At 53.2% G+C, this 19107-nt stretch overlaps 2 protein-coding genes across 15 annotated transcripts in view, besides 7 other annotated features; both read right to left on the minus strand.

Annotated features, from left to right (window-relative positions):
* The window catches only part of IP6K1 (inositol hexakisphosphate kinase 1), a 62249-nt gene extending 59601 nt beyond the window's left edge, over positions 1-2648 (minus strand). For 3 of the 4 annotated variants that reach the window (NM_001006115.3, NM_153273.4, XM_047449323.1), the window contains exon 1: positions 2460-2648. The gene's annotated coding sequence lies outside the window, so the exon portion shown is untranslated. Of the gene's footprint in view, positions 1-1775; positions 2353-2459 lie in introns of those variants that run through there. The other variant, NM_001242829.2, reaches the window with a different exon arrangement.
* Positions 2262-2611: a silencer, noted in NCBI's record as "silent region_14373". NCBI's record gives its function as "represses an Ori minimal core promoter by ATAC-STARR-seq in GM12878 lymphoblastoid cells {active_cell/tissue: GM12878}" and the evidence as "EXISTENCE:reporter gene assay evidence [ECO:0000049][PMID:35858748]".
* Positions 2262-3015: a biological region, named in NCBI's record as "H3K27ac-H3K4me1 hESC enhancer GRCh37_chr3:49823653-49824342".
* Positions 2326-3015: an enhancer, noted in NCBI's record as "H3K27ac-H3K4me1 hESC enhancer chr3:49823653-49824342 (GRCh37/hg19 assembly coordinates)". NCBI's record gives its function as "activates a minimal SCP1, AML or CMV promoter by ChIP-STARR-seq in primed H9 embryonic stem cells {active_cell/tissue: H9 hESC(primed)}" and the evidence as "EXISTENCE:reporter gene assay evidence [ECO:0000049][PMID:30033119]".
* Positions 3102-3171: an enhancer, noted in NCBI's record as "active region_19875". NCBI's record gives its function as "activates an Ori minimal core promoter by ATAC-STARR-seq in GM12878 lymphoblastoid cells {active_cell/tissue: GM12878}" and the evidence as "EXISTENCE:reporter gene assay evidence [ECO:0000049][PMID:35858748]".
* Positions 3347-3511: a silencer, noted in NCBI's record as "fragment chr3:49824674-49824838 (GRCh37/hg19 assembly coordinates)". NCBI's record gives its function as "represses an EF-1alpha promoter that drives an FKBP-Casp9 reporter gene in an ReSE screen in K562 erythroleukemia cells {active_cell/tissue: K562}" and the evidence as "EXISTENCE:reporter gene assay evidence [ECO:0000049][PMID:32094911]".
* Positions 4292-4501: a silencer, noted in NCBI's record as "fragment chr3:49825619-49825828 (GRCh37/hg19 assembly coordinates)". NCBI's record gives its function as "represses an EF-1alpha promoter that drives an FKBP-Casp9 reporter gene in an ReSE screen in phorbol 12-myristate 13-acetate-treated (for megakaryocytic differentiation) K562 erythroleukemia cells {active_cell/tissue: K562(+PMA)}" and the evidence as "EXISTENCE:reporter gene assay evidence [ECO:0000049][PMID:32094911]".
* On the minus strand, positions 6838-19020 carry CDHR4 (cadherin related family member 4). 11 transcript variants are annotated; one of them, XM_017006367.1, is made up of 21 exons: positions 18143-18260; positions 17551-17772; positions 15870-15924; positions 15353-15543; positions 15100-15262; positions 14932-15023; positions 13028-13138; positions 12049-12152; positions 11734-11870; positions 11302-11485; positions 11053-11206; positions 10714-10807; positions 9909-10112; positions 9689-9828; positions 9267-9417; positions 8960-9180; positions 8574-8716; positions 8009-8065; positions 7820-7907; positions 7547-7577; positions 6838-6993 (listed from the first exon to the last, which is right to left on the minus strand). In XM_017006367.1, exons 2-21 carry the CDS (start codon positions 17698-17700, stop codon positions 6938-6940), a joined length of 2526 nt encoding a protein of 841 aa, XP_016861856.1. In that variant the 5' UTR covers positions 17701-17772; positions 18143-18260; the 3' UTR covers positions 6838-6937. The 11 variants fall into 11 exon arrangements, 9 of the variants coding, with proteins under 9 accessions (XP_016861856.1, XP_016861858.1, XP_016861857.1 ...); XM_017006369.1 differs by having other exon boundaries at positions 17566-17772; positions 18107-18260; XM_017006368.1 differs by having other exon boundaries at positions 7547-7574; positions 18107-18260.
* Positions 18764-18813: a silencer, noted in NCBI's record as "silent region_14374". NCBI's record gives its function as "represses an Ori minimal core promoter by ATAC-STARR-seq in GM12878 lymphoblastoid cells {active_cell/tissue: GM12878}" and the evidence as "EXISTENCE:reporter gene assay evidence [ECO:0000049][PMID:35858748]".

The raw sequence follows: 19107 nt of genomic DNA on the forward strand, positions 1-19107 counted from the left end.
TATAAACTCAGTCGAACAGCAACAAGCTGCCAGCGTCCTCTGGGTTCAGCACCTGCTTTCCTAAAGGATCTCCTGACCAAGGAGCTGGTTTCTTTCAAAATTATTATTTTATTTATTATTTATTTATTTATTTATTTTTGGAGACTGAGTCTCACTCTGTCACCCAGGCTGGAGTGCAGTGGCGCGATCTCAGCTCACTGCAACCTCCGCTTTCCGGGTTCAGGTGATTCTCCTGCCTCAGCCTCCATGCACCACCACGCCCAGCTAATTTTTGTATTTTTAGTAGACATGGGATTTTGCCATTTTGGATAGGCTAATCTCTTAACTACTGACCTCAGGTGATCCGCCCGCCTCAGCCTCCCAAAGTGCTGGGATTACAGACATGAGCTACCGCACCTGGCCTCTTTCAAAATTATACATTCAGAGGTGACAAGATCCTGATAGAAGTGCACAAAGTAGGCTAGGCGCGTGACCAGGCACAGTGGCTCACGCCTGTAATCCCAGCACTTTGGGAGGCCAAGGCAGGCGGATCAGGAGGTCAGGAGTTCGAGATCAGCCTGAACAACATGGTGAAACCAGGTCTCTACTAAAAATACAGAAATTAGCCGGGCATGGTGGCACGCACCTGTAATCCCAGCTACTTGGGAGGCTGGGGCAGGAGACTTGCTTGAACCCAGGAGGCAGAGGTTGCAGTCAGCTGAGATTGTGCCATTGCACTCCAGCCTGGGTGAGAGAACGAGACTTCGTCTCAGAAAAAAAAAAAAAAAGTAGGCTTGGCGCGGTGGCTCATGCCTGTAATCCCAACAATTTGGGAGGCGGAGGCGGGTTGATCATGAGGTCAGGAGTTCGAGACCAGTCTGGCCAACATAGTGAAACCCCGTCTCTACTAAAAATACAAAAATTAGCCAGGTGTGGTGGCACGTGCCTGTAGTCCCAGCTACTCGGGAGGCTGAGGCAGGAAAATTGCTTGAACCAGGGAGTCAGAGGTTGCAGTGAGCCGAGATGGCACCACTGTACTCCAGCCTGGCAACGGAGCAAGACTCCATCTCAAAAAAACAAAACAAAACAAAACAAAACAAAAAGTGCACAAAGTATTGTCGCTTGACTTCTTAGTCATCTCATGCAGGCATATTCTATGACCACATACAAGAAGACTGTACAAAGAACCAAAGAGGCCACAGGTCAAGAGAAATGTGTTTTGGAGCAATGAGAACTCTTCCTAGACCTGCACACTCTACTGAGGATCTCCAACTTGCCCAAATTCACAGGAAAGGGGCTTGAAGGTGTTTTCACTGAGCAAGATAATTTTAGTACTGTTAAAAGTTAATTTGCGCCGGGCATAGTGGCTCACACTTGTAACCCCAGCACTTTGGGAGGCCAAGGGGGGTGGATCACGAGGTCAGGAGTTCGAGACCAGCCTGGCCAACATGGTGAAACCCCGTCTCTATTAAAAATACAAAAATTAGCCGGGCATGGTGGCGCGTGTCTGTAGTCCTACCTACTCGGGAGGCTGAGGCAGGATAATCGCTTGAACCCGGGAGGTGGAGGCTGTGGTGAGCCGAGATCGCGCCACTGCACTCCGGCCTGGGCAACAGAGCGAGAGACTCTGTCTCAAAAGAAAAAAAAGAAAAAAAACAGTTAATTTGCCAGTTCCATATCATCCACAACAAAAACAAGTTTCTTTTTCCGATTCTAAGACACTCCTACGTTTCCTTTGTCTCCTATGGCGAGCATCCCTTTAGGAGATAAAATCAAGTCATCACCATAATACTCACTTTCTCCTAAAGCAAAAAGAGGAAGACATTACCACTCTCCAAAAAGTGGTGGTGAAGAACCAAAGAAATTATGTTCCAAAATAAAACTCAGCCATTATGGACATTTAACCAGGTTCTTTGCGAGGAAAACGGTGAGCTTCGAGGTACACGTGAGGTTCCGAACGGGTCTCAGGAAGCAGCAGCCAGGCAGAGGGTCCCCCTTGCCATAATCATAGGGCCGTGACACCGGCCTGCCTGGCTCGCGGGGGCTTTGGCTTGCTTCGTCTAGTCTTAGCATCCAGCGTCCTGAAAATCACTCGCAGGAACGCTATCTAAGAAAGAGGTAAGTCTATTTCTCAGCCAGGAGCAACATAACTCCCAGGAGAGCATCAGGGTGGCACCGGACACACTTTAGCGCTCCGGATCAGCGGAGTCCAGAGCTTCGGTCAGAGAAGCTGGTTTCCCGCTACTAGCCGGCCAACCCTCAGGCACTGGCGCTCTCCGTCCTCCACACCGGCTGTCCCCCCGGCTTCGGTGCCAGCATCTGGGAGGCTCGGCGGGCGGCCGGTCAGGACGCTCGAGCGATGTTCCAGTGATGGCCCCACCGGAGCCCCGACCCCACACGCGCCCACTCCAACCCCGCGCCCGCCACCGCCCTCCCCGCGGGCGTCAGGCCGGTCTATCGGCCCGGCTCCTGTCACTCACCTGCCCGGCCCGGGCACCGAGCGCCCACGGCTCCCTACGGGAGCTGGGCCCCCCGGGCCTCCAGGTTTCGGCCCGCCCCCTGGCAGGCAGCACAGGTGGCTGAGCACCGCTACAGCGGCCTCTCACCGGCCGCTTGGTCCAGCTCCCGGCGCTGCCCACTGGGTACGGATCAACAACAAGATGGCGGCTAGCCGAGGGGGCGGGGGCCGGGCGTCATAGTAACCAGGACTGCAAAGAACCCGCCCCCGAGGGGGTGCTATCCCCAATCAACAGTCTTTTTGCTCGTCGCCAGGGGAAGTGCTTCCTGCTGACAGGTCAGCTCACGTGTCAGTCAGAGTCTGCCTCTCAGGGCCTCTGCCGAAAGCGTGGGGCACGTGACTGTGACGGCATGGGTTGGCGCATGCGCTTCGTTCCCGGAGTGGCTGGCGGCGGAGTTTTCGCTGGCTACTACGAGGCCGGAGCGCCCTTGGCCTCTCTGCGTCCCTGGCCCTCGTGCGGTACCGGCGGCGTCTTGTCATACACTTGCGCACACACAGGGAATCTCAGCGGTGTGCTATTCGTTTTTTTGTCCCCCACTCTGGGAGAAGGGGGGTGCAGCCCCCAGTTCACTCTGGAGAGGAAACTGAGGCTCAGAGAGGGGAGGCCGAGCCAAGGTCACGCCACCTCTAGAAATGGAGGTGCTGGGTCTCGCACCTCCTCCTGCTGGTTTCAGAGTGTGAGGAGCCTCTATCCCAGCTTCCCACGCTTTGTCCCTTACTAGCCTCGAGGTACCGCAGTCTGTGCTGCCACAGCAGCCTCTGGCTCATTGCCCATGCTTTCCTGCCTGAGGTTTAGAGCCTAGCACAAGTCCTGACACACAGCGGGCACTCCCTTTTCTCTTCCCTAGAGCATCTTGTCTTGAGATCCTGTGACAGCATCTTTTGCCCTGGACTGTCATGACCGGCCTCCCAAGCAGACTAATGGTCCCAGGAAGATGGTCACACCTTGCTCCCCATACAGAACACCTAACTCTGGGCTTGGCTTCAGGCTTAGAACAACAGATGAAGTTACGTGGCCTGGGCCCACACCCAAATGCCCCAACTAGCTAACTCTGACTTTTGAGCCTTAGCCTCTCTTTAGCTTTGGTTGTCCCATCTGTAAAATGAAGATAAAAGTGGAGCTTCTCAGAGGAAGATTTAATGAGCCCTCAGAGCAGGGGAAGAACTCAGGAAAAATCTGCCTACAACCACTTCCTGGAACAACCTGCTTCCAAGTTGCTGTTCCTGAGGCGTGCCTTAAAACACTAACTTTGGTGGAAGCCCCATGAAGCGTTTTTGTTTTGCTTTGTTTTGTTCCCACAGAAGGCTTTCAGCTTCTTCCTGGCCCTGGGATACCATAACTGGTTCAGAAGGGGAGGTCCTCCTAGCTAGGCGCAGTGGCTCATGCCTGTAATCCAGCACTTTGGGAGGCCAAAGAAGGTGGATCACTTGAGGTCAGAGGTTCGAGACCAGCCTGGCCAAAATGGTGAAACCCTGTCCCTACTAAAAATACAAAAATTAGCTGGACGTGATGGCAGGTGCCTGTAATCCCAGCTACTCAGGAGGTTGAGGCAGGAGGATCACTTGAACCTGGGAGGCAGAGGTTCAGTGAGCTGAGATCACGCCACCACACTCTAGCCTGGGTGACAGAGCAAAATTCTGTCTCAAAAAAAAAAAAGGGAGGTTCTCCAGTACCCTGAGGGGGTTCAGGCCCACAGACTCAACAGACGAGTAAAGACTGTGATAACTTGGATTTACCACAGTAAGGTCCTCTTGGAGAGCTGGCAGAAGCCTGAGACCTGATGTCAGGTTGGGCATGGAGAGTGGGCCAACACTGCATCCAGCAAGACCTGCCCACCAGCAGATTGCTGCAGGCCACTTGGCTACATGCAATAGCTCAGGTCAACACAGGGAGATGTGAGAGCAGAGGAACCAGAAGAAACAGATCAGGAAGAAAAGCCAACAACCCTCAAAAGGGGGATTCTGCTAATCCTCCAGGACCAGCCATGCCACAGGATTCTCAAGTCTGCATCACCCCTCACCGCAGTGCAAAAGCTCCAGATCCTTCCCAAGAAAACCTCCACATACAGTTGGCAAATTGCCCTGAAGTTTGATGGGACCCTCAAAAAGCAACAGTGGTATAACTACTGTGGATAACAGTTCGGAGGTTCCTCAGAAAACTAAAAATACAGCTACCACATGATCCAGCAATCCCACTGCTGGGTATGTACCCAAAGGAAAGGAAATCAGTATATCAAAAAGATATCTGCACTTCCATGTTTGCTGCAGTGCCATTCACAATAGCCAAGATTTGGAAGCAACCTAAGTGTCCATCAACAGGTGAATGGATAAAGAAAATATGGTACATATGGGCCGGGTGCGGTGGCTCACGCCTGTAATCCCAGCACTTTGGGAGGCCGAGGCGGGCGGATCATGAGGTCAGGAGATGGAGACCATCCTGGCTAACACGGTGAAACCCCATCTCTACTAAAAATACAAAAAATTAGCCGGGCGTGGTGGCAAGCGCCTGTAGTCCCAGCTACTCAGGAGGCTGAGGCAGGAGAATGGCGTGAACCCAGAAGGCGGAACTTGCAGTGAGCCGAGATCACGCCACTGTGCTCCAGCCTGGGCAACAGAGCGAGACTCCATCTCAAAAAAAAAAAAAAGAAAAGAAAATATGGTACATATGCAGAATGGAATATTATTCAGCCATTAAAAAGAATGAGATTGTGAGATTGGCTGGTGCGGAGGCTCATGCCTGTAATCCCAGCACTTTGGGAGGCTGAGGCAGGAGGATCACCTGAGGTCAGGAGTTCAAGACCAGCCTGGCCAACATAGGAAAACTCCATCTCTACTAAAAATAAAAAATAAAAAAATTAGCCGGCATGGTGGTGCACACCTGTGGTCCCAGCTACTCAGGAGACTGAGGCACGAGAATTGCTTGATCATGAGAGGCGGAGGTTGCAGTGAGCCAAGATCGTGCCACTGTACTCCAGCCTGGGTGACAAAGTAAGACTACATCTCAAAAAAAAAAAAAAGGAAAAAGATTTAAACAAAACAATTGAATTCATGGAGATAGTGAGTAGAAGGATAGTTACCAGAGTCTGGAAGGGGTGGGGAGGTGGGACGGTTAATGGGTACCAAAAAAAAAGAAAAATGAATAAGACCTAGTGTTTGATAGCACAACAGAGTGACTGTAGTCAATAATAACTTAATTGTACAGTTTAAAATAACTGAAAGAGTATAATTGGATTATTTGTAACACAAAGGATAAATGCTTTAGGGGATGGATGCCCCATTTTCGATGAGGTGATTATTAACCATTACATGCCTTATTAAAACATCTCATGTACCTCCAAATTTATACACCTATGTACCCACAAAAATTAAAAATTAAGAAAAAAATTAAAAAGAGAAACATCTCAACAACAACAACAACAAAAGCAACAGTGAGCTAGGCACGGTGGCTCACACCTATAATCCCAGCACTTTGGGAGGCTGAAGGGGGAGGATGGCTTGGACCCAGGAATTCAAGACCAGCCTGGTCAACATAGAGAGATCCCATCTCTACAAAAAAATTAAAAATTAGCCAGGCATGGTGGTCCATGCCTGTAGTCCCACCTACTTGGGATTCTGAGTAGGAGGATCGATTGAGCCTGGGAGGTCAAGGCTACAGTGAGCCACAATCACACCGTTGCACTCCAGCCTGGGCAACAAAGCCAGACAGCCAGACCCTATCTTTCTCTCTCTCTCTCTCTCTCTCTCTCTCTCTCTCTCTCTCTCTCTCTCTCTCTCTCTCCCCCTCTCTCCCTCTCCCCGCCCCCTCTCTCCTTCACACACATGCGCGCGCGCGCGCGCACACACACACACACACACACACACACACACACACACGCAGCATTGTTCTCTCTCTTCTGGATAGGAAAAGGAAGCAGGTGGCCCTGAGGAGACATGCTGATTGGAGGCCCCTCAGTCACTGACAAGGATGATAGCCTATTACTTCTATAGAGCATCAGTCACACTGTCAGTCTGAGCATCACACAATACCTTCTTAAAAGAAAAATAAAGCCAGGTGCAGTGGTGCGCCCATCGTCCCAGCTACCCAGGAGGCTGAGATGAGAGGCTCTCTTGAAGCCAGGAGTTAGACGCTATAGTGTGCTATGATAACACCTATGAATAGCCTCTGCATTCCAACCTGGGCACCATAGTGAGACCCTGTCTAAAAAAAAAAAACCCTGAAAGAGAAAAGGAAAACCTTACTGCTCCCTAGAGTCTGCTCACAAGGTAGGGAGTTGTCCAAGTGAGAACAAGGAGGCACAGATTTCAGAGCTTCTCCCACACGTTGGCTACAAGGCTAGAACTTTTCTTTTTGTAATTTTGTTTATTATGAATCAACTTGAAAATACAGCCCATGATGGTGTGAAAAAGAAATTCCACACATAGTAAGACAGCTACTTGGCCTCAGAGCCAGCGCCGGGCTCCTGTGTGTGTGTTAAACAGGTAGTCTCTTCCGGTACCTAAAACCGGTAGGAGAGAGAGGAGAGCAGGGGGTGCTGCTGGCCCCAGAAGAACTGCCTCCCTCCCCCTTACTTAAGGGTAGGAGATTATTCCTCCAGGACCCTCAGTGTGACATCCCACCTTCGCTGGAATCTAACCTGTCCCCTCCCTCCCTTCTCAGCAAATTCTCTCAACTCTGACTCAAATGCACAGGAAGCCTCCTTGATTCTCCAACACTGGACACCAGCTTCCCTAAGGCAATACCAGATTACTCTCCCATAAATCACTGGTGACATTGGACTATCTGGAGGCCTCTCCCCTCACCATCATCCCTCCTCCCGTTGTGGGCAGAGACCAGACCAGATATGAGTCATCTCCTGACCCCCTAGACGTTTGACAAAGGATGGATGAAGAGTGAGCGGGGATGAGAGCAGACCCCATTCAGGAAAAAAGCAGATAGATGGTGGGTTCCTGGGAGTAGGAGGAGATATTGAGATGGGGTAAAGAGAGGAGGAGATACTCAGATGGGGTGAGGGCCCAGGCAGAGAATAGCTTAGGAAGAGGGGGACTCACGGGAGTCCTGTGCTCTGCCATCAAAATGCTGCTGAGGGAAAAAAAAAAAAGATGCAATGAATTGAACCCTGCCCACAGGGGAGCAGATGAAGGCCTGCCCCTAGGGGGCCAGAAGCCCACCTGCCTCCTCCATTCTGATGGTGCTAGTGTGGGCATTTCCACAAGGATACCCATTCATCGGAAAAGGGGCATGGGAAAAAAGGCTTGGAGGGGGCAGGGGAGTACTCTGAAGCACCCTTGGTGTCCACTACTTGAGATGGTGAGCTGACATACCAGACTCATGACACTGCTGGGTGCCTGGGACATCTCCATCTTCGGTGCCTCCAGGAAACCCTCGATGGATCCCTCAGTTCCCTGGATGCTGGGGCAAAGTACGAGCAAGAGTACAGGGCAAGGCTCTGGGCCCTAACCTGAGTTTAAGAGATGGGATCCCAGGCATAGAAGTATGCAAAGGAGACTGACCTGTTTAGCAGCAAAGCCTGGGCTGGTTTGCTGGGTGCTTGCAGCAGCTGGGCCAACCTAAAATGCCAGGAGGAGTAACGAAGCAGTGAGGGCAGCAGGCCTACTGGCTCCAGGAATCAGCACCATTCACCCATTCCTTTATATTGGGAACAACCAATGTCTGTATGCAGTGCCCACATTGTTACATCCCCTTTCCCTGGGCTCAGTCCTATGTCCACAAGGAACTTCAGAGTCTACAGGAGCAGGAAAGCTTTCCAGTGGAGGGCAGAAGTCAGGAATAGGGGTAAATGCCCAATGTATGACAGACTCACAGTTTCAAGCCCTGAGCTTATCTACCCTCCTCCCATTCCAAGACTGGATTCTGCCGGTGATGGAAGTTGCTTCCTCCCAGTGTCTCTCTGACCCTAATCTAAAGACCTCTGGAGGGAGAGTAGCCCTCCTCAATATCAGTTCGTCACCCACCTACTTGGGCATTGTCATCTAATCTTGGGTGAAACCACCCATCACAACTGGGGTCCATAGGTGGGTTGGGGGCAAGTAGGGAGCACAAGGATAGGATCCCTACCCCTGGAGGAGCCTGCCAAGAAGCCAGCCTAGGGCCAAGAGGAGAAGAGCACCAGTTGCTGTCAACACCACCACAAACCAGGGCTGTGGCTGCCAGAAAGCCTCTGTGTCTGTCACGAGCATGGGTGTCATCGTTGAGGGCACCTGAAAAGGAGGCCACAGCCTCACCACTGCCTTGCCAAAATGCCCTGACCATCCAGCCTTCCAACCCTTCCCCGGGCTAAGCCACCCCACACCCATGATTTGCTCTTCAACACTGCTGGGCTCTCCGCACTCTGCGCTTCCCTCTGAACTGCCTTCCCCATAGTTCCACCTGAAAAACTGGGTCTCCTCACTCTCCAAGGTCCACCCTTCCCACCCTGCTGAGGGCCCAAGGAGCCTCCTCACTGTGGTTCTGTGGGTGCTGGTGGCCACTGTGCTGGCCCTCCGGGGAACTAGATGCACAATAATGGTGGCTGTGGTGCTGAGGTGGGGGGTGGAGGGGCCTGCATCGGCCACACAGATCAGTAGCTCATAGGTACGGGGCTGCTCTGGCCAGAACGGCCCCAACACAAGGTCACTGTGCACCAGGATGGCCCCTTGCAGGATGAATCGGTTCTGGCTATTCCCTGAAAGCAGAATGACAGGAGGAAGAGACCATTGCTGGCCTTGGCCTGCCCCTCACTCACAACCTGGTGGTGCCCATGTCCCCTACCTCCCACGATGCTATAGGAGTAGATCAGGCGCTGTGGCTCCTGAGGGATCTGGCATGACATCTTGGTCACCTCCACGCTACGGCCCAGAGGAGCATAGATGGTGAGTTCCTGAAATGGGGGCTCACACTCGGGGGCATGGTCATTCACATCCTGCAGAAAGGAACCAGGTTAGGAGTGGGTGGAACCCACCCCCTAAACCTCTGAGCCAGCCCCTCAACTTCTTCTCACCACAGCCGTAGCCTAGGCATCAAGTGATGAAGTCATCACACAACAGGCTCCAGAGCTTTCAATTAGGCCCCACTCTTCTCCAGCCAACTCGTGGAAGAAACCAAGGCACAGAGTGGAAAAGCAGAACACCACAGGGCAATCTGAACTCCTGTCTTTCCAAGTATTTATTTCCAAAGCCTTAGGACGCAATTACCTCAACCTCGATGGTAATGGTACAGGAGCCTGAGAGGTGATGGTTGGGGTTCTGGTCTTGGCCATGGTCAATCACAAGGACAGTGAGCCTGTACAGCCTCTGCTGCTCATAGTCCAAAGGTCCCAGGAGGTGAACTTCCCCTAGAGGGGGAGACCACAGCTTCAGCCTGCAGGGCCAACTCTGGCTCCCTGTTTCCATCCCAGCCCTGGGGTGGATGTACCGCTGAGACGGTCCACAGCAAAGGTGGTAGGACCACCAGAGGTGTAGTACTCAATGTTGTCATGAGGGTAATCCATATCCGTGCCCACCACGGAGCCCAGTAGAGTGTGGGGCGCCGCATCCTCCTGAACCCGGAACGTGCGAGGGGCACAGGCTGGGGAGAACTCGTTGATGGGTGTCACCATCACCAGTACCGGCACCTCAGCTGGAAGTCATTTGGCAGTCAAGGAGCTGGCCTGGGGTAACTATCCCTGAACTGGGGGTCTGAGGAGGGAGACAGGGCCCTGCCCTGGGGGTCTAAAGAGTGAGAGGGTCTGCTGGGCGTGGTGGCTCACGCCTGTAATCCCAGCACTTTGGGAGGCCGAGGCGGGCAGATCACGAGGTCAGGAGATTGAGACTATCCTGGCTAACACAGTGAAACCCCGTCTCTACTGAAAATACAAAAAATTAGCCGGGCGTGGTGGCCGGCACCTGTAGTCCCAGCTACTCTGGAGGCTGAGGCAGGAGAATGGCGTGAACCCGGGAGGCAGAGCTTGCAGTGAGCCAGGATCGTGCCACTGCACTCCAGCCTGGGTGACAGAGCAAAACTCCGTCTCAAAAAAAAAAAAAGAGAGTGAGAGGGTCTAAAGGGAGGGCAGAAGCCTTCCCCTGCTGGGGGTCTAAGAGATATATCTTCAGGGTCTGAAATGGTGACAACCCTGCCCTACTGGATTCTGAAGGAGGAGAGATGACCCTGTCCTGAGCATGGGAAGCGGGAGGACAGAACAGCCTTGTCCTGGGTGTCCAGGCCGGGTGTGGTCACTCACTGGTCATCTGGGGCTGGCCACCATCGAGCACCAGGATGGAGGCTGCATGCTGGAAGCAGGCTCCAGGAGTGTCACAGTCCAGTGTGGCATTCACCTAGCCAAAGGGGCTAGAAAGTGAGGTCCAGCCAGGGCCTGAGAGAGCCCTGAGCCACACGGGGCTGCTGTAGGCCAGGGCATCCACAAATATCTTGCCTGGATCCTGTTTTCCAGACTGCAACACAGGTTGGCTCGACAGCCATCCCTCCACCCCCACTCCCGTGGTCTCAGAGACCCTTGGCCCACCCACCCCTTCCCACTGCAAGCACCCTGCAAGTGGGTCTGGGAGCTGGGGCTGGGCACCTCAAGGACTCTGTCATAAAGGCAGAGGCTGGCAGGGTTGGAAGAGCTGCGGAACCACAGCTTGTAGTCCAGGGTGGCACCAACAGAGTCCGGATCTTCGCAAGTGAGAGTATTCAGCACGGTGCCCACGGGTGCAGTCTCCGGGATTTGGGACCTGAGAGTATGCAGTGGCAGCAAGGCAGGAGTCTGGCAGTACCCTGAGTCATGGCTCTGACCCCAGCAGCCCAAGTATGGTTCCCGGGTACTCACACCAGAAGCGCTGGGAGGCAGCGTGGAGGCCAGAGGTTGACCAGCTGCACATTCATGGTGAGATTGAGCTTGGCACTGGCCCACAGCTGGCCCTGCTCAAAGGCCTTCACCTGCAGCCTGGAGACCGCGGTGCCTGAGGTGCGAGCTAACTCTAGGGGCGTGGTGGTCCGGACCACACCGTCTGCTGCATGGGGTGAGAGAACACAGAGGTCAGGGGTCAGGGAACACAGAGATCAGCCCCGCCTCCCAGCTCAGTCCCACTCCTGCCAGCCCACCAGATCCATAGGCAAAGGAGGCCGCTGAGCCTGGCCCTCCTGCTGCCTTCTCCAAGACCAGGCCCCCAAACAGGAAGGTGAAGAGGTACTATGGGTCACCTCTGGACCAGCCACAGAGGCATCCCAGTACCTGCCCCCACCCCCCAACACCTCTCACCACGACCAATGGAGAAGAGTGGGCTGGGCACCGGAGACAGGATTTCATAGCGCAGGTCGACACCCCGGGCCTGGACCTGAACCACCTCACTACCGGGGGCCAGATTCTCAGGGATGGTGATATTCTGAGCCTGCTCGCTGGACCAAAAGGGGGGCACTGGTTCCTGCCCATTCCTGCTCAACCTGTGGGTCCACAGCTTCCTTCCCTGGGCCCCCTCCTGTCAGGGCTGGGACTCAGCTCCAGCAGCCTCACCCTACCTGATTCCCTGGGGCTAGGCCCTTCCTCCCTCACTGTTCCAGGGTAGGGGAGCCTTACAGGAAGGAGACCTGGCTGGAGGGAACAGGCAAAACCTTCACTATCACCATCCCTTGGCAGCTTTGCCTTTGTCCAAAGGACACTGAGATTTGCAGCTGGAAGACCTGTGGTGCACCCAGAACAGAAAAGGAGCCAGATTGTGTGTGTCCACCTCTTTGTCTATGCCCAGTCCTCCCCTTAAATAGGCAACCTCACTTAGGATCTCCAAAAGGATCTTCAACTTCCACTCTTCCCCATGATCCCCATGACCTGTCACTCTGCTGACAAGTATTCCTTTGAGCCCCATACCTTTGGGCCATAAATTATTCCATTAGGATACAAACAGCCCCAGAGTGATATCTGAATCATTGACAATGTGAATTATCATCTTAGAATTGCTGAAAGCCACCTCCAGACTGCACTGACCATTTTACTCAGAACTTTTTTTTTTTTTGCCCATGTTGGAGCACAGTGGTATGATCTTGGCTCACTGCAACCTCCACCCCCTGGGTTCAAGCAATTCTCCTGCCTCAGCCTCCCGAGTAGCTGGGATTACAGGCATGCGCCACCATGCTCAGCTAATTTTTGTATTTTTAGTAGAGACGGGGTTTCTCCATGTTGGCCAGGCTGGTCTTGAACCCCTGAACTCAGGTGACAACGCCCACCTTGGCCTCCCAAAGTGCTAGGATTATGTGGGTGAGCCACTGTGCCTGGCCATTACCCAGGACTTTCTCTTACTGTGTGATTGCCCTAAACACTTTTCTTTCTATTAGAGGGCTTGTGAATTCCCAGAGAGAGGGATTCCTCTTCTTTCTAGAACTCCAGAGCCCAGCACAGAACCAAGCTAAGGTGGGAGGACAGACAGCATGCAGCAGCAGGTCCAGGTCTGAGAGAGTCAGTATTAGTCAAGGAGGCCAAGGAGGCCAAGAATAAACAAATTTCTAAAAGGTAGGCACTCTACCCAATCCATAAACACCCTCAGATTCCAGGTCATGCTCACCTTTTGAGCCTGGCCTAGGAGGCCCTGGGATGGTGCCTGCAGCCAACCTTGCTCATTGATGGAGAAAGGTCCAGGGAAGTGTGGCAGGTCCTGGGCACTGATAATGCTCATCTGACAGAACAGAGATGCTGGCAACCACATTCAGCCCCCAGTGCCCTGAGCACCCCCATCGACAACCCAGCAGCAACCCTCCAGCAACCCAGCAGGCACCTGCCTACACCCAATTTATTTTCCTTCCTTCCTTCTTTCCTTTCTTTCCTTCTCTCTCCTTCCTTCCTTTCTTTCTTTCCTTCTCGCTCTCTCCTTCCTTCCTTTCTCTCTTTCTTTCCTTCTCTCTTCCTCCCTCCCTCCCTTCCTTCCTTCTTTCTTTTTTTTGAGACAGAGTCTCTCTCTGTCGCCCAGGCTGGAGTGCAGTGGTGCGATCTCAGCTCACTGCAACCTCCACTTACTGGGTTCAAGTGATTCTCCGGCCTCAACCTCCTGAATAGCTGGGATTACATGCCTGTGCCACCACACCCGGCTAATTTCCTTCCCTCCCTTCCCTTTCCTTCTTTCCTTCCTTCCTTCCTTCCTGTTTCTGACAAAGTTTCACTCTTGTTGCCCAGGCTGGAGTGCAATGGCTCAGTCTTGGCTCACTGCAGCCTCCACCTCCTGGGTTCAAGTGATTCTTCAGTCTCAGCCTCCCGAATAGCTGAGATTACAGGTGCCCGCCACCACGCCTGGCTAATTTTGGTATTTGTAGTAGAGATAGGGTTTCGCCATGTTGGCCAGGCTGGTCACGAACTCCTGACCTCCAGTGATCCACCCGCCTCGGCCTCCCAAAATGCGGGATTACAGGTGTGAGCCACTGTGCCCAGCCTGACACCCAGTTTTCTCATGCTTCACCACTGACCCTTATCCCAGCCTGGGCTCCCTGACTTCTAGCCCAAGCCCTGGCCGCAGTCCTCAATCCTTTTTGCTTTCAAGCCAGTTACTGTTTTTAAATACTTTTTTTTTTTTTTTTTTTGAGACAGAGTCTTGTTCTGTCACCCAGCCTGGAGCAGTGGCACAATCTTGGCTCACTGCAACCTCCACCTCCTGGGTTCAAGCGATGCTCCTGCCTCAGCTTCCCAAGTAGCTGGGATTACAGGCACACGCCACCACACCTGGCTAATTTTTGTATTTTTAGTAAAGACAGAGTCTCACCATGATGGCCAGGCTAGTCTCGAACTCCTGAGGCCACCTGCCTCAGCCCCCTCAAAGTGCTGGGATTACAGGTGTGAGCCACCGTGCCTGGCCATTACCTACATGTTTGTTTTTTTTTTTTTTTTGATTACAGAAATGATACAGAATTGTCATAAAGAACTGAGAACACATAGCAGATCTTGAAAGAACTCAGCCCCTGGCTGGGAGCGGTGGCTCATGCCTGTAATCCCAGCACTTTGGGAGGCCGAGGTGGGGAGATCACGAGGTCAGGAGATCGAGACCATCCTGGCTAACACGGTGAAACCCTGTCTCCACTACAAAATACAAAAAAATTAGCCGGGCGTGGTGGCGGGTGCCTGTAGTCCCAGCTACTCGGGAGGCTGAGGCAGGAGAATGGCATGAACCTGGGAGGTGGAGCTTGCAGTGAGCCGAGATCGCGCCACTGCACTCCAGCCTGGACGACAGAGCAAGACTCCGTCTCAAAAAAAAAAAAAAAAAAGAACTCAGCCCCTGAGATGTCCCTGTGGGAACAGCCATGGTCACTGGGGAGTGAGCAGCCCTCAGCAGCTCTCTCCAAGAACATACATCATGTAGAGGCTCATCTATGCCTCTGCTGCAAGGTTCCTCTTCAGGCTGTGCCTGGCCAGGTGGGGGTTAATTTATTCTCTCCATCCCCCCACCCCCATCCTGTCACCCACCGTCCCATGTTCTGGGCTTACCTGCGCTCCGTGGAGTTCTAGGCCTGGGAGGAGCAGAGTGTACAGCCGAGCCCCAGGTGTGACTGTCTCTGGCACCTGAATCATTTCCCCAGCTGGCCAGAGTGGAGGTCAGGGAGGATCTGCTCAGGCCATGCCTGCCCCCACCCTGCCGGCTGCCCCTGGCCTCACCTGGGCTGGCAAATTGACCAGCACACTGGATATGGCTAAGGTCCCGCTGCACATCCACAGAGAGTGAGCCCTCCATCACATGGTTGCCACATGTGAACTTCAGCTGCACCTTGTAGTGGTTCACCATCAGGGCATCCAACTGAGCAGAGCTGCTCAAGGTCAACTGGGGTGGGTGGACAGTGCCATGTGGGGCTTGGAAATTTTAGGTCTGCCCTTGTGCCCCCACAGTCCCCAGCTGTACACATGACCCTACCTTGCCCACATAGGTCCCTTGCCACCTGGCCAAGCTGGGTGGGTTGAAGAAGGTGGTGGGTGGCTGGACATTGAGCAACTCCAGGGTGGGTGTGGGCGTGTAGGAGGAGCAGTTGAAGGATAAAAACTGAAGGACTGTGCCAGGGCCCTGGCTCTCAGAGACATTTATAAAGCAGGGCAGGCTGCAGAGGTCTGTGAAGAGCAGAGAATTCAGGCTGGAGGCCCCCAGGCTGATGGAACCACACATACTAGCATAGTCCTGTCCTTTTGCCACAGGGCCTGGCCATGCCATGGGGCCAAGCAGCTAAGGCCTTTCCTTGTATCCAGCATCCAGCATTTCACAGATGGGGAGTGAGAACTTGACTGAGGAAGTGGCCAAGAGAAGGGGTGAGGGCCAGGGGTTCAGATTCTTACACTTTCCTACCTCTCCCCCAATCCCTGTCCTCCATGGTAGCTTATCTGGGAAGGGTCAGGACTCCAAGGGAAAACTACGGTTCCCCCACCCACCACCTCCTCACCAGAGACCACCGGAGCAAAGAGGAACACGAGGAGCCTGAGCAGCACCATGATGACCTGAAGACACAGACAGCAGAGGAGGCTTCAGAAAGCTAGGCTGTTTGTCTGACTCACCCTGTTGCCAGGTCAGTTGCTCAAACATAGCTGGGCAGGCGGGACTCCTGGGCCTCCCAGATTCTATCCCCACCCATCCCTGGTGACTGAGTTCTAGACCTCTGGCAGGCTTCCAGAGGCTCAGAATATCCCATTTTCCATTGCCCCCATTCATTACAACTCTAAGGGCATGGAAGGGGAGGAGGATTAAGGTTCAGATGAGGAAACTGGTCATGCAATCCGTGGAGATAGAGCAAGCACAGCACCCAGGAAAATTTGGCCCAGGACCTGCTACCCCACAGAGTCTCAACTCCAGCTGGACCCCCTCCATTAGAACATTATCTGCCTATAAAAAATGAGCCCAACCGTCAACAAAATCTCTCAAAACTTGCTGGGTGTGGCGGCTTACATCTGTAATCCCAGCACTTTGGGAGGCTGAGGTGGGAGGATCACTTGAGCTCAGGAGTTCAATATCAGCCTGGGCAACAAAGTGAGACCCCATCTCTACAAAAAATTAGTTGGGTGTGGTGATCCAGGCCTGTAGTCCCAGCTACTCTGGAGGCTGAGGTAGGAGGATTGCTTGAACCCCAAGAGATCGAGGCTGCAGTGAGTCATGATTGTGCCACTGTACTCCAACCTGAGTGACAGAGCAAGACCCTGTCTCAAAAAAAAAGAAAAAAGAAAAAAAAAGTTGTCTACATCCAACAAGCAAAAGGAATCCTTTATGATAGAAATACAAATACTGGTTACCGTTGGGAATATCAGTTGGATAGGGCACCAGGTGGCATCCAGGAGTTGCTGAGGATGTTCTATATCTGGGTGGCAGCTGCACAAGTGTCTACAGATTTTAACATTTACTGGGCTGTAACTTTGAGATCTGTCTATTTATTGTATTTATATGTCAGTTTTTTTAAGTTTTCTGGCCAGGCACGGTGGCTTATGCCTGTATGGGAGGCTGAGGCAGGAGGATCGTTTGAGATCAGGAGTTCGAGACCAGCCTGGACAACATGGTGAAACCCTGTCTCTACAAAAAAAAAAAAAAAAAAAATTAGCTGAGTGTGGTGGCACATGCCTGTAGTCCCAGTTACTTGAGAGGCTGAGATAGGAGGGTCACTTGAGCCCCAGAGATGGAGGCTGCAGTGAGCCAAGATCATGCCACTGCACTCCAGCCTGGGTGACAGAGTGAGGCCCTGTCTCAAAAAAAAAAACAAAAACGGTTGTCTTTATTTGCCATCTCCAGTTCTTCAGTCCTCACTCTCTTCTCCACACACTCTAATCAGGCTTGTCCCTCTCTACACAAAACTGCCCTTGTCAGGGTTCCCAGTGACCTATGCACTGCCGAATCCAGTGGTTTGTTCTTCACCCTCACTGCCTAGGCAGCATTCAATGCTTGCTCCCCTTGGGTCCTGAGTCCCCACATTCTCAGATTTCTCCTGGCTGTTCCTGCTCAGCTTCTTTGATAGCTCTGCTTCATATCTCCCCTACCTCCACCTCATGGAATGTCCCAGGGCACAGTCCCGATTGCTGTCTCCCTCTGACTACACTGATTTCCTCCCACCCCACCTTATCCAGGCCTATGGCCTTACATACCATCCATTCACTCACTATGCCTCCCAGATCCAAGGCTCCAGTGCTGATCTCTCTCCTGAAGTCCAGAGTCATACACCTAGCAGCTGACTCTGCAACTCCTCTTGGATGTCTAACAGGCATCTCAAGGGTTACGTGTCCATAAATGATCATTGGATTTTCCTCTCCAAACCCACTCTTCTCCAGTCTTTCCCAGATCAGTTTATGGCAATTTCATCCAACCAGCTGTTAATGCCAGAAATGTAGGAGTCATGCTTGATGCCTCTTTTCCTGCCCACATCCATGCATCAGCAAGACTTGATTTTAGTTCCAAAACATACCCCAAAGTGACCCCCTTCAGTGCACCTGCCCTGCCCAGGCCTAGGCCCTCCCCTTCGTTGCCTGGATGAGGGCAGGGACTTCCACTCTTATTGCAGAATCCTTTTCTGAAAGCAGCTGGGATTATCTAAACAAGGGCTAGCCCAGGTCATTCCTGCTCAAAGGCCCCCATTGCTCCTCATCACACCAAGAACAAAACCCACATTCTGCTCTAAGGCCGTTAGAGCCTGGTTTTGCTGACCTTTTCCCTCCTGCCACCACCACCAATCACAGACACCTGGGCCTTCTTTATGTTTGGCCCTGTCCAGCTCCTGTCCGTCGGGGTCTCTTCCCTGGCTGCTCCTTCTGCCTAGAATGTTCTTCTTCTCCTTCTTCTCCTTCTCCTTCTTCTCCTTCTCCTCCTCCTGCTTCTTCTTCCTTTCTTTTTTTTTTGAGACGGAGTCTCACTCTGTCGCCCAGGCTGGAGTGCAGTGGCGCGATCTCCGCTCACTGCAAGCTCCGCCTCCCGGGTTCACGCCATTCTCCTGCCTCAGCCTCAGGAGTAGCTGGGACTACAGGCGCCCGCCACCACGCCCGGCTAATTTTTTTTGTATTTTTAGTAGAGACGGGGTTTCACCATGTTAGCCAGGATGGTCTCGATCTCCTGACCTCGTGATCCGCCCGCCTCGGCCTCCCAAACTGCTGGGATTACAGGCGTGAGCCACCGCGCCCGGCCAGAATGCCCCTCTTCTTGATTGCATCTTGATGTCACCTCCTGTGAGACTGACTTTCCCCAAGCTAGCCCACGGCCCTCATTCCCTGGTATTTTCCTGTTGCTGGTATGTCCAGTCTGTCTGCAGCTACACTACCCTTGAGCCTAGCCTGTGTTGATAGAGCAGCCTCAGCACCGACCCTCAGTCTGCACCTGGTACCGGCAAAGGGAATGCCGACGGTCGCGCGTCGCCGCTGGACTCGCGACTAGCCAAGCACTCCCCACTAGAGGGCAGTCCCGTCTAGCTCGGTTGGGACGCGGCTGAGGCCCCGCCGGTGCGCTGCCACAAAGTCCCGCCCTCTCTTGAGTCCTCAGACGGGCTGAACCCCACTTCCATCCCGTTCAGGGAGTGCCAAGGCCAGCCTCACGAATGGGTCCCGTGGGTCAGGCCCCGAGGGTCCACAACCTCTCTGGGTCCGACCATCCGGGGTGCTCTGCCTATGTGCGGACGCAGCACGGCGCCCCGTGAGAGGGACCGCTATTTCACCATT

Source organism: Homo sapiens, chromosome 3 (genome assembly GCF_000001405.40).
Source record: "Homo sapiens chromosome 3, GRCh38.p14 Primary Assembly".
Lineage (NCBI taxonomy): Eukaryota > Metazoa > Chordata > Mammalia > Primates > Hominidae > Homo > Homo sapiens.

What these genes read in the sequence shown, in the direction of transcription:
- CDHR4 (XM_017006367.1), bottom strand. Translation starts at nt 17,700, where the DNA reads ATGATCATTTATGGACACGTAACCCTTGAGATGCCTGTTAGACATCCA. An exon ending in TGCCTCCCAGCGCTTCTGGT is followed by an intron (nt 11,207 to 11,301) that starts GTGAGTACCCGG and finishes GCATACTCTCAG; the next exon opens with GTCCCAAATCCCGGAGACTG. An exon ending in TGGCAGAGCACAGGACTCCC is followed by an intron (nt 6,994 to 7,546) that starts GTGAGTCCCCCT and finishes TACCGGTTTTAG; the next exon opens with GTACCGGAAGAGACTACCTG.